The 14,288-nt window shown below is 37.0% G+C and overlaps 2 annotated features.

The window, feature by feature from the left end:
- Positions 275 to 774: an enhancer, noted in NCBI's record as "H3K4me1 hESC enhancer chr7:108853449-108853948 (GRCh37/hg19 assembly coordinates)". NCBI's record gives its function as "activates a minimal SCP1, AML or CMV promoter by ChIP-STARR-seq in primed H9 embryonic stem cells {active_cell/tissue: H9 hESC(primed)}" and the evidence as "EXISTENCE:reporter gene assay evidence [ECO:0000049][PMID:30033119]".
- Positions 775 to 1,276: an enhancer, noted in NCBI's record as "H3K4me1 hESC enhancer chr7:108852947-108853448 (GRCh37/hg19 assembly coordinates)". NCBI's record gives its function as "activates a minimal SCP1, AML or CMV promoter by ChIP-STARR-seq in naive and primed H9 embryonic stem cells {active_cell/tissue: H9 hESC(naive and primed)}" and the evidence as "EXISTENCE:reporter gene assay evidence [ECO:0000049][PMID:30033119]".

Here is a 14,288-nt window from a genome sequence, read left to right as displayed (position 1 = left end):
TACTTACAATTCTTTTATTCATGAGACCATGTTTCCTTTTGTTTTGAAATTTTCTTGTGTTTTGACATGCCAGGCTTTCATATTATTTGAGTTATTAGAGTTCAGTGTTAACAATAATGAAATTAAAGGAAAATTTGTTGCATAAATGTCATTTTAATACTAAATTTTTTTGTTTTGGGGTACCAGTACAAGAAATTTAAAACAAATAAAATTGCTAAATATAAAATCAAGAATAAAAGAGATTAAGTAGGACAGGCCAAGATGGCCAATTAGAAGCAAATACAGCCTGCAGCTCTCACAGAGAAAAAGGAAAATAGCAATTGAATTCTACACCTTCAACTGAGGTATCCATATTCTCACATTGGAACTGATTAGGTGGTTGGCATGACCCACAGAAAGCAAGGAAAAGCAGGGTGGGACAACAGCCCACCCAGGAGCCGCATGGAGCAATGGGAGCTCCCACCCCAAGCCAAGGGAGGCAGTGAGTGATCATGCGAGGAAACCATGCTTTTCCGATGGATCTTTGTAACCTGCAGATCAGGAGATCCCCTTGTGAGCCCACGTCACCAGGGCCTTGGGTCCGAAACACAGAGCTATTCAAACTCTTGGTGGCAGCTCAGGCATGCACAAAGACACACGGAACGTGGCTGAAGCCAGGGAGCCAAGGGAATTCAATGAGGCAGGAGATCCATCCATTCCCCTACGAAGGGGGCTGAAGCCAGGGAGCCAAGTGGCATCATTCTGCAGGCCCCACTCCTACAACACCTCGTAAGTTAAGGCCCACAGGCTTGGAATTCCAGACAGCCATCAGCAGCAGGCTGGAGATGCCTGAGATGACCAAATTCCTGGGCGGAAGGGAGGCCACTATCTCTGTGGCTCCAGTTGGCTGTCCTGGTCTGCTGGCTCTGGGGATTCTGGCTGGTTTGGACTGGAAGAAATTCCCCACTGCACAGCACAGCTGCTGTGGCAGATTGTGGCCAGATTGCCTATTTAAATGGGACAGCAAACTATCTATCCTCACTGGGCAGGGCCTCCCTGCAGGAATTTCAGCAACTCCAGCCAGAGTTTTACAAATAGAACTCTAATCTCCCTGAGACGGAGACCCTCAGGGGAGGGACAGCCATGGTCTCTGTGGTTCAGTCAACTCAGCCTTACCTGCCTGCTGGCTCTGGAGAGTCTGGGGGTCTGGACAGGGAGGGTTCCCCACAGCACAGTGCACCCACTTTGCCAGGGGGTACCCAGACTCTTTCTTTAAACAGGCCCCTAATCCTATTCTTCCGGACTGGGTGAGACCACCCAACAGAGTCTCCAGACACCTCCTACAGGTCTCCAGACACCTCCTCCAGACACCCCCTCCAGACACCTCCTACACCTCGTTCAGGCCGGCATCAAGTCAATGCCCCTCTGGGACAGAGCTTCCAGAAGAAGGAGCAGACTGCCATCTTTGCTGTTTTTCAGCCTCCACTGGTGATACCTCCAGGTGCAGGAGGGACCCAGGCAATTAGGGTCTGGAGCAGACCCCCAGCAAACTGCAGCAGCCCTACAGAAGAGGGGCCTGACTGTTAAAACAAAATAAACAGAAAACACAACAACAACAAAGATTCCACAAAAACCCCATCCAAAGGTTAGCAACCTCAAAGATCAAAGGTAGAAAGATCTCAAATCGACAACCTAACATGACAACTTAAATAACTAGAGAACTAAGATCAGAGTGGAACTGAAGGAGATAGAGACACAACAAACCCTTCAAAAACTCAGTGAATCCAGGAGAGGAGTTTTTGAAAAAATTAATAAAATAGACTATTAGCTAGACAAATAAAGGAGAAAAGAGAGAAGAAACAAATACAATCAGAAATAATAAGGGGACTATCACCAATGAACCCACAGATATAACAACCGTTAGAGAATACTATAAACACCTCTATGCAAATAAACTAAAAAAAAATCTAGAAAAAATGGATAAATTCCTGTATACATACACCCTCCCAAGACTGAATCAGGAAGAAGCTAAATCCCTTAATAGACCAAGAATGAGTTATAAAATTGAGGCAGTAATAAGTAGCCTACCAACCAAAAAAAGCTGAAGACTGGACTGATTTACAGCTTAATTCTATCAGAGGAACAAGGAGGAGCTGGTACCATTTCTTCTGAAACTATTCTTAACACTTAAAATTAAGGGACTTCTCCCTAACTGGTTTTATGAGGACAGCATCATCCTGATACAAAAACCTGGCAGAGATACAACAACAAAAAAGAAAACTTCTGGCCAATAATCTTGATGAACATCGATGCAAAAATCCTCATTTAAATACTGGCAAACTGAATCCAGCAGCACATCAAAAAGAATATCTGCCAAGATCAAGTTGCTTTCATGCCCGAGATGCAAGGTTGGTTCAACACACACAAATCAAAACATGTAATTCATAACATAATCTGAACTAAAGACAAAAACCACACGATTCTCTCAAAAGATGCAGAAAGGCCTTTGAATATAATTCAACATCCCTTTATGTTAAAAAAAAAACTCTCAGTAAACTAGGTTTTGAAGGAACATGCTTCAAAATAATAAGAGCCATATATGACAAACCCACAGCCAATATCATACTGTATCAGCAAAAGCTGGAAGCATTCCCCTTGAAAACCGGCACAAGACGAGGATGCCCTCTCTCACCACTGCTGTTCAACATAGTGTTGGAAGTTCTGACCAGGGCAATCAGGCAAGAGAAAAAAGAAAAGGCTTCCAAATAAGAAGAAAGGAAGTAAAATTATCTTTATTAGCAGATAATATAATTCTATATCTAGAAAAACCTATTGTGTCAGCCCCAAATCTTCTTAAGCTGATAAGCAACTTTGGTGAAGTCTCAGGATACAAAATCAACTTGCACAATAGGCAAACAGAGAGACAAATAATGAATGAACTCCCATTCACAACTGCTACAAAGAGAATAAAATACCTAGGAATACAGCTAACAAGGGAAATGAAGGACCTCTTCAAGGAGAACTACAAACCACTGCTCAGGAAAATCAGAGTAGACACAAATGGGAAAACATTTCATGCTCATGGATAGAAAGAATCAATATTGTGAAAATGGCCATACTGTCCATAGTAATTCATAGATTCAATGGTATTCCCATTAAACTACCATTAACATTCTTCACAGAATAAGAAAAAAATATTTTAAAATTCACATGGAACCAAACAGGAGCCCAAATAGCCAAGACAACCCTAAGCAAAAAGAATAAAGCTGGAGCTATTATGCTACCTGACTTCAAACTATACTGCAGGTCTACAATGACCAAAATACATGGTTCTGGTAAGACACATAGACCAATGGAACAGAATAGAGAACTCAGAAATAAGACCATACACCTACAACCATCTGATCTTTAACAAGCCTGACAAAAACAAGCAATGGGGAAAGGATTACCTACTTAACAAATGGGTCTGGGAGAACTGGCTAGCCATATGCAGAAAATTGAAACTGGACCCTTTCCTTAACCCTTATACAAAAATTAACTCAAGTTGGATTAAAGACTTGAATGTAAAACCCAGAACTTTAAAAACTCTAGAAGAAAATCCAGGCAATACCATTCAGGACATAGGCATGGGCAAAGACTTCATGATGAAAATGCCAAAAGCAATTGCAAAAAAAAAGCAAAAATTGACAAATGGCATCTAATTAAACTCAAGATCCTCTGCACAGCAAAAGAAACCGTGCAGAGTGAAGAGACAACCTACAGAATGGGAGAAAATTTTTGCTCCATCTGACAAAGTCAAATATCCAGAGTCTACAAGGAACTTAAACAAATTAACAGGAAAAAAAAAACCCTATTAAAAAGTGGGCAAAAGACATTAACAGACACTTCTCAAAAGAAGGCATTCATGTGGCCAACAAACATATGAAAGAAAGCTCAACAACACTGATCATTAGTGAAATGCAAATCAGAACCACAATGAGATACCCTCTCATGCCAGTCAGAATGGCAATTAGTTGAGAAACAACAGATGCTGGTGGGGATGCGGAGAAAAGGGAATGCTTTTACACTGTTGGTGGAAATGTAAATTAGTTAAACCACTGTAGAAGATCCTCAAAGATTTAGAAGCAGAAATACCATTTGACCCAGCAATCCATTACTGGGTATATACCAAAGAAATATAAATCATTCTATTATAAAGATACATGCACGTGTGTGTTAATTGCAGCACTATTCACAATAGCAAAGATAAGAAATCAACACAGAAGCCCATCAATGATAGACTGGATAAAGAAAATATGATACATAAACACCATGGAATACTATGAAGCCATAAAAAGGAACACGATCATGTTCTTTGCATTGACATGATGGAGCTGGAAGCCACTATCCTCAGCAAACTAATGCGGGAACAGAAAACCAAACAGCACATGTTCTCAGTTATAACTGGGAGCTGAACAATGAGAACACATAGACACATGGAGGGGAACAACACACTCTGGGGCCTGTTGGCAGGGGCAGGAGGAGGGAAAGCATCAGGAAGAATAGCTAATGGATGTTGGGCTTAGTATCTAGGTGATGGGTTGATCTGTGCGGCTGACCACCATGACACATGTTTACCTGTGTAACAAACCTGCATATCCTGCCCATGTACCCTGGAACTTAAAATAAAAGTTGAAGATGAAAAAAAAACGGTAAAAGAAACTTTTGATTATTTTGCTCTTCACAGGACCTACAATCAAAAGCATTAACCATAATGGCAATATTGACATTTAGACTACTAAAATGTTTAGTGTAAAATTAAATATATATTTTATAATTATTTACAATTTAACACCAAAGAAAAATAGACAGTTTATAAGTTTGGGTCTGTATGAATTCACAAAGTAAACATGCCATTTTAACCAAAACTTAACAAGAAACAAATCATGGGAAACCATTGTTGAGGTTTAAAACAGCAAGGATAAGCTTTGACTATTTTTGAGCTTCAAATAAGTACAATGATACAATATGTATTTTAAACTGTGCTTGTGAAAATTATTCATTATTTTGTGTGTAGTTTTATTTTATTTATTATCAATGAAGTTTAGTATTATCTGTTATGCTACTGATAAACATTTAGGTTTTTTCCAGTTTGGGACTATTATACGTTTTCTACATAAATTTTACTATGGATGTCTTTTGATTATCATATATGTATATATGCAGTTCTTTGGGGGATATATTTAGAAATAGAATATCTGGTCATAGGGTTTCCATATATACTGTTACAGCAGTTACTGCCAATGTGTTTTCCAAAGAGATTGTACAATTTGCAGTCTCACTGGTGATATGTAATGTTCCAATTTTTCCACAACCTTACCAACAATTCACTTCATTATAGCCAATGTAGTGGCTGTGAAGTTGTATTGCATTGCATTTTAATTTGTGTATCTCTGATAACTAACAAAGTTGAGCCCCCTTCAAATGTTTATTGATGGTCTGGGCATCTTGTTTTGTGAAAATGTCTCAAGTCTTTTGTCCAATGCTCTTTTTATTTGGTAATCTACTCTTATATGTTTCTAAGAAGTTTTTATATATTCTAGATATATATCTAGAATGATTTGAGTCCTTTGAAAGTTATTGTTTTGCAGTTTTTTTCTCAATTCTGTGACCTGCCTTTTCATACTTTTAATGATCTCTTTTGATTAACAGAAATTATTGATTTTAATGTAGTCGAATGTATTAATAATTTCCTTTATGTTTAGTAAATTTTGTTTTGTTTGGAAAAAACCTTTGCTTATCCACACAGTCATTGTATCTTTCTAAGCTTTCTTCCAAATTTTTCATTGTACATATTATATTATTTGTAAAAAATTAGAGATTGGCATTTTTCTTTAGTTTTTATTGCTTTATTGTACTATTTACTACCTGAGTAAATGTGAACTAAAAGTCAATATAGCAGATAACCTTGTTTTATTCCTAATATGTAAGTGTTCAATAAGTTATAATTGAATATTTGCTATGGGTTTTCTATAATCAATATTTGTCAGATTAAGATAAAATTAAGATAATTATCAAATTATCACAAACATAGTATCTTAAAACAACACAAATTTGTTATCTTATGTTAATAGTTCTAGAGATCAGAAGTCCAAAACGAGTTTTATGGGCTCAAATCAAGATGTCAGCAGAGCTATATCCCTTCTGGAGGCTCTAGGAAAGAATCATTTAACTTTCCCGTTCCAGTTTCTAGAGGCTGGCTGCATTCTTTAGCTGATGGCTCTCTTTTTATCTTCCAAGCCAGAAATTGCATTCATCTTCACATCTCTGTCTCTAACTTTTTACTTTTCTGCTTTCTTCTTTTCCTTACAAGAGACCCTGTGATTACATCAGGTTCACCCACAAAATCCAGGATATTCTCTCTATCCCCAAATCTTTAATTAAGTCACATCTTCAGTATTTTTTGCCATGTAAGATAACACATTCACAGGTTTTAGAGAATAGGATATGGACATCCTGGGGAAGCCTCATTGTTCTGCTTATTTCCATAACTTTTCACTGTATTTTATATCACTTTTGCTGTATTCTTTATCTCTCATCTTTTTTATCACTTCTAAACTACAAGTCAGATATTCTCTATCAGCCTGCATTCTAGTCCCCTAATTTAAATTCTGCTAAATTCCTAATAACAGATATTGCATTTTCATCTATATAATTTTTATTTGATTCTCTAATACATTCATTTTTATTGAAATTCTTTATCTATTAAGCTATCTCTTCCCTTTTTTTGAAAATATAAATTATACTCCTTCTAAAGTCCTGGTTGGCTAATTCCAAAATGAGGGTCATTTATGTGTCTGGTTCTATTGTCTGATTTTTCTCTTGTTCAGTTATATAGTCATGTTTCTTATATACCTAGTATTTATTTTTACTAAATACTGGAACTGTTATATTTAAAAACTGAAGAGCATCCAGATAAATAATATTTCTTTTCAGGTAGAATACATCCATTTCTCCTCTAGGCAGATGTATTAAAGTGGTATGTCATCTAACATTCTCAGTGACACTATGGTAGGTAATATTATTACTAGCCATTCATAGATGAAGGCATTGAGGTTTCGATTTGCAGTGATTGACGCACTCCTGCCCCAGCCTGTAGAGATATTCTCTTTGATTAAGTTTACTTCCATCTTATTCAATTTACAAAGCATTTATGTTCCATTTCTCTTGCAATGTATAGGGAGATTTATAAGTACTCAGGAATGCTAAAAAAAAAAAACAGTTGTACATGAGTTATGATAAGGAATATTCATGTTTGAGTCCAGCTCATCATCTGAGTCCCTTCTAACTTTTCAGCCTGATTCTCTGCAATAAAACAACAGTATTAAAACCAATACTACTATTAATTAACAAAAATATTTCTCTTTTTTCTCTAAACTATCTTTTCCTGCCAATTTAAAAATCTGTTCCTACTTAGCATTATGCTTCATCTTACCTCAGGCCACTACTCTGTAGTATCCAAAAACCAGCTCTGAAAGAAGGCATCTAAGAAAATAATTATTATGTCATACTTAACTTGGCAATTTTCCTTCATCTTTGCTTCCATTTCAGTGTGTGTTGTGCTAGGTGAGAGTGGGAAAAGAAAATGATAAGAGAGATAAAAAGTTGAGAAAAATACTCAGATTAATCTGTCAATCTACCTTGCCACAAGAAAACAACTTGTCTAGAACAGTATTATGCAGAGAAACTAAAGCTGTACCCATCCAGTCTCTTTATTAAGCTTGTAAGGCTTTTCTTGACCACTAGGGCTTCCCTTTCAAAAAAATTAAGTGTCTCTCTTCTGTATTCTCAAAGAACCTAAGGCTGCCTTTACCCTAGCATTCACTACACTCTGAAGTCATCTCTTGGAATTCACAAGGAATTGGTTTTAAGACTCCTCACGCGCACCAAAATCTGCAGATGCTCAAGTTCTTCATATAAAATGGTATATTATTTGCATGTATCTGCACATATCCTCTGGTATACTTTAAAACAACTCTAAATTACTTATAATACCTAATGCAATGTAAATGCTATGCAAATAGTTGTTATACTGTATTTTCTGTTTGTATTAATTTTATTGCTTTGTTCCCCCAATATTTTCAATCCATGGTTGATTGAATTCTTAGATGCAGAACCCACAGATACGGGGGGCCAACCATATTTAATAACTGAATATGTTTTTGTTTCCCTCTTGTATACTGTAAGTCCTAGAGGCCAAAGGCTACAGCTTAATTATCTATATACTATCACGGCTCTATTCTTCCCTTCACAGCAAATTTATTAAATGAGAAATTGGCACTCACTCTGCACTTTCTCATGGCTCATTCACTCCTTAGCTCAATGCAAACTACCCATGCTGTCTCATAACAACACTAGTCCTCTCAATAACAACACTAGTTATTATTTTATACTGTGTCAAAAATAGCCCATATTACCAGATCCCACAGGAAAACTTTAGGCCCTATTATACAATGTCTCTGGAATAAATAACTGCTAATCACTCTTCTTGAAATTCTTTTTTTCTCTGTTTCTGTAACACTTACCTCTTTTGATTCAATTCCTATGCTTCTGGTCATTACTTTTCAGTATGCTCTATATACTGTAATTTCTCTACTGTGCCATTATGTGCCTCTGTTCATTTATATTCCTCACTTCATTTTGCCCACTTCACTTTAAGATAGCATCTGTTAGAGCCATCTGCTCCTAAGGAGAATTAACAGGTTACAATGGTCTACTGCATGCCCAATTGATCCACTGACTTCACTGATGGCATCTTTCTTTATCTCCTCTCTAAATAACAGGTGTGGTCATCTTGCTCAGAAAAACAAGAAACAAAAATTGAAACAAAACCTATGGCTGGTGAGGAAAATTGACTTCCTGGCAAAGTGATATCAGGAAACCCATTTGTCTGCAAAAGGAAACAACTCTATCTGCATGGCAAAGATGTCTGCTGTAACCACAGGAAAAGAGTCAAGGGAATGTCCATGTATGGGTTCTGCAATGCTACAGAAGAATATTTCCTTTTGCTCTTTTATTTTTACCTATATCTAGCTTATACATTATAAAATTGGTTCCATGACTAAAATGAGTCACATCTAAATTCTACTACAAAATGAGTCCATTCTTGCACATCTTCTGATACCAATTATAACATTTGGTGGAAGTCCAAATTGGCAAACGTGTTTTTTCTTCCCAGTAACCTTTTGTGCCACGTTGAATTTAAAGAGCATTTATCTTCTGAAATCTCCTAAAGTTCCTCAAGGCAGGAAAAAAAAAAGATTGTACTCTTATTCCAGAAAGGAAACCCCAAAAGTGAAAAGAACCAACAGAAGAATCAGGATGAATTCCTTAATTCCTGCCAGTGTGCCATTTAGCAAATTGGTTGAAATCTGGGAATAATTATTTGCATTATGTTTGATGTGGCTAAAATTTTTACTTCTTAATAAATATTCTTGAAAAGCAAAAAGGATTTCAATATCATTATGATTCAATCCATATATATCCTCCTGTAGTTCCCATAATTCCCATGTGTTATGCGAGGGACCTGGTGGGAGATGATTGAATCATAGGGGCAGGTCTTTACCATCCTGTTCTCATGATAGTGAATGGGTCTTATAAGATCTGATGGTTTTAAAAATAGGAATTTCCCTGCACAAGATCTCTCTTTGCCTGCTGCCACCACGTAAGATGTGGCTTGCTTCTCCTTGCCTTCCACCATGATTGTGAGGGCCCCCCAGCTGTGTGGAACTGTAAGTCCAATCAATAAACCTTTTTCTTTTGTAAATTGCCCAGTCTTGGGTATGTCTTTATCAGCAGTGTGAAAACAGACTAACACACATCCTCTCATTCTAAAATAATATGAGTATTCCATTCTCTGTGAATATTCTGACCATTCAGAATTCAGTTTATAGCTTATTTTCTTTTGTAAAAGATAGAACTATTTTAAGAGCATAGAATAGAGTCTATGTTTAATGTGACATCTCTCCAGGACACATGGAAATAGTGATGTGAACTCTCAGGAAGGTATTAGAAGGAAAGCAACCTTCTCAGTTGCTTCATATGGACAATTACAAAGAATATGAAGGAGGCAGTCGGGTGACATAGTAGGCAACTGGGAAGGGCTAAGACAGTAGAGCAGGAGGAATAATGAGAATTGACCTTCCCCAAGCCATTCTCACTGAGAACACATCCCTTCATAGTCAGCGTGGCTGTCTGCTCGAAAGGACAGATCACAACTTCCTGCAAACAGTCCTAACACAACGTAGTGATGGACTAGATAGTTTGGGACTACAACTTGAAGCTGAAATAAGTTGATTTGATTTTCCTTTTAAAAAATGGCCCAATGCCCAATTTTTATAGAAACGGTTATATTTTATCAACTTGAAATTCTGAACCTCTAAATATTAAACATATTAATTGCATGTAAATTACCAAAAACTGGCTGACTTAATACAACACATATTTATTCTGTCACATTTCTGGAGGCAGGAATTGTGAATCAAGGTGTCAGCAGGGCCATGCTCCCTCTGTGGGCGCTAGGGAAGTACCGTCCCTTGCCTCTTCCTAGCTTCTGGTGCTTGCTGGTGGTTTTTGGCATTTCTTGGCTTGCACTTGCATCTCTCTGATCTGCCTGCCTTCTTACCTCCTTCCTCCCTGTGTTTCTTGGTGTCCATTCCTCTTTGCATAAGGACACCAGTCACTGAATTTAGAGCTCACACTAATCTAGTATGGCTTCTTATTAACTAACTACAGTTGCAAAGACCCTATTTTCAAATATGACCACATTCTGAGATTCCCAGTGAATATGAATTTAGGGTTGGGGGGACAGAATTTTACACATGTATCAACAGGTTTTTCTTTTCAGAAGAATTCATATTTGACTAAGTTTGTATTTTATTCTGCATTGTGATACATTGGGGAGCAGAAGGTCTTATCACAAAGTTATCTGAAAGAGATGCAAGGTTTCATTTGTGATAATAACATACTTCTTAATTGTCTTCTCATCCAGTCTCAGTCATACATCAATATGGATTCAATCAGTAAAAGTGAAAGCTATAGCTCCATTGACATCCATTGTGCCTATCAGTTCACTCTGTGGGTTGGATTGCTGTGAATATGAAGTTCTACCTTGTACTCAGTTATCAATTTTCCAGATTGCAGCCATCTTCATGGGTTATCATCTATGCCTAGACCACAGCAATCAACCTTGGATTTCCTTTTCACCATCATTATAGAGAGTCTTTCTCATTTTCCTGTGTTTGAACATCTGTTTCCTGTTCCCATCCCATCTTTCTATTCACCTTTACTGGTTAAGTTGCTCATTTTTGTAGAACACATCCTCCAGTACCTTCCAAAGAAAGGTGAATAAGAAATTAAATTTTCTCTTTCTTGTAAGTCTGAAATATAATTCATTGGTATCTGTGCCAAACATAGAATTGTTAGGTGGAAACAATTTTCTTTCAGATATTTGAAGTCATCACACATTGTTTCTTGCTTCCAGCGTGGTTGTTGACAAATCCCAAGATTTCAAGTAGTTGTCTAATTTTGTAACACTTTCTACTCAGTCTTTTTGTCTTTTTGCTTTAATCTCTGAGAGAGTTCCCAGACTTCATATCATAACATCTTCACAGGGCTCTTTTTCCCACTGTGCATATGTTTTTAGTTTTTATTATGTTTTCTGATAATTTCCTTTGTGTCATTTTTGTTTTAGTTTTATAAATGCAATAGCCTCTATTACCACTCTTAGGATATTAATATCAAGTTCATTTTTTTTCTTCATATTTGTTTCCTCGAAGATGCTGTTATTTTTTCCTATTGGTTTATTTTGGTTTCTATCTTTCTCATTAAAGATTTCCCCCAAGCGGATCATGAGGTCAGGAGATTGAGACCACGATGAAACCCCGTCTCTACTAAAAAAAATACAAAAAATTAGTCTGGCGTGGTGGCGGGCGCCTGTGGTCCCAGCTACTTGGGAGGCTGAGGCAGGAGAATGGCGTGAACCTGGGAGGCGGAGCTTGCAGTGAGCCGAGATCGCACCACTGCACTCCAGCCTGGGTGACAGAGCGAGACTCCATCTCAAAAAAATAAAAAATAAAAAAAAGATTTCCCCCAAGATATTTGGTAATCTATTTACTTGCTTATAATTAAGATTGGGTGGAGAGCTCAAAAGCAGATAAAAGCTCTGAGCATCCAAGTGGGGACTAAGCAAACTTGAACTCCACTGCAGAGAGATACGGCCAGTTTTCAGGAAAACCAGGATGTCAGTATCCTTGTTTCTTTCTCTTATGGGAAGGCGAATTTTCCAGAGACAGATCTTCTAGTCTCCTGCTATAGAACAGACGTCTAGTTTCCCATGTTCTAGCAGTCAAGTGGAAGCAAAAGACAAAAATATCAGTATTTACATGTAAGGGATCTGTTCATTCTCCTTATGATACTGTTTGTTTCCTCTCAACAGTCCAGTCCAGGCACAGTTTAACCTTCAGCTACACCCAAATCTCCAGAGCACTGACAGAGTAATTGAAGGGTGGTTAAATGATATGCAAGAGATTATCCAGGAATCTTTTTTAACATTCTCAAATCTTCTTTAACAGCAAGTTACTTCACTCCTAGTTCCATAACTGCTAGTTCCTGAGGTTTTTGAAAATTTTACAGTTCAATTTTGGTTCTTTCACAGTTTTTTTCTATTTCTAGGTTAGTGTTTGCTAAGTGGGTAGTCCTTGCCCATCTGCTTTCTAACACCCAAAATGCTGTTGCAGTGGTTTTTCTCGCCTATCTTTGTGGGACTATGTCTCTGAAAAAAAATTACTTTATGATAGTTTTAGTGAAGTTTGGATGGATCAATAGTTGTTTATATTGTCATCTTTATCCTGTATAAAGGATTTTAAAATTATTATATATAAATGAATAAAAATAAAGTAATTGACTACCCAGAAAGATAGGATCTCTGTCTCTTGAACAAATTAATACAAAATGTAAGCTAAAATCTACAAACAATGTGAGATCATTAGCTGCTTTTTTTATTCTCCCAGAGGAAAACAGGGATCTGAAATACTAGAGGCAAAGATACAAGTCTATTGATAATCAGCACCACTTCCAATAAATCTACCATGATTCGACAGGTAAGAATGGTGGCCAGGGGTGGGGGCTCATGCCTGTAATCCCAGCACAGTGGGAGACTGAGGCGGACGCATCACCTGAGGTCAGGAGTTCGAGACCAGCCTGACCAATATGATGAAACCCCGTCTCTACTAAAAATATAAAAATTAGCCAGACATGGTGGTGGGTGCCTGTAATCCCAGCTACTTGGGAGGCTGAGACAGGAGAATTGCTTGAATACAGGAGGCAGAGATTGCGGTGGGCCGTAATTACGCCATTGCACTCCAGCCTGGGCAACAAGAGCAAAACTCCGTCTCAAAAAACAACAACAACAACAACAACAACAACAATCGTATAGGAACAAAGAAGAAAGTATGACAATTACAGAGAAAATCAAAATATATCATTTTTATTAAAACCAGACAACAATCATCAGTGACTACTGACATCACAAAAAAGAAACAACCAGATACCATGTACCTCCTGATGTAGGTGGATTATGTCATAGTTTGGGCAAAATATTGAATATAAATCTAATCAAGATCTAAATATGACTATCAATTTACAGGAAGTAGAGGGATTATATCAGATTAACTGACATATAGGGGTAGAATCGGAAAATAAAACTTACATTGGGAAATGACAGCAGTGCACTCTAAGAAATTTGTGCAGTAATGGAATTGGTCTTTTTCTGCATTCTTTAATACAGTAGCCAGTAGCCACATGGGGCTATGAAACACTTGAAATATGCAAGTGTGCCTGCTCTAACATTGTACATTGTATGTAATTCAATCTTGTATTCTTTTTACTATTAACTGATTGAAATTTAATAGCTAACTGTGGCTAGGAGCAACTATATTGGACCATATCAAACATTTCTTCAACACCTAAATAGCAAACAAATAAAGAGATATAGAAGGGGATTCTATAGAAATGACAAATTGTATCTGTCAATTGCAAAGTATAAATATTATTTGAATTCAAATTAAAAGAAATTATACAAAATTGTTACAAGATATTCAGGGGAATATGAGTACTCATATTTGATGATACTAAGGAATTATTGTTACTTTACATATGATAAAAATGTTATGGTTTTGTTTCAAATAGTTTCTATATGAAATATCTGTGTAAACTATTCCCACAAGAAATTATTTGATGACTTAGATATGGTTCAGCATAATCCATAATTG

This window comes from Homo sapiens, chromosome 7, assembly GCF_000001405.40.
Source record: "Homo sapiens chromosome 7, GRCh38.p14 Primary Assembly".
NCBI classification, from domain to species: domain Eukaryota; kingdom Metazoa; phylum Chordata; class Mammalia; order Primates; family Hominidae; genus Homo; species Homo sapiens.
Note: the sequence above shows the minus strand (reverse complement) of the source record. Positions and strands in the feature narration are given on the sequence as shown.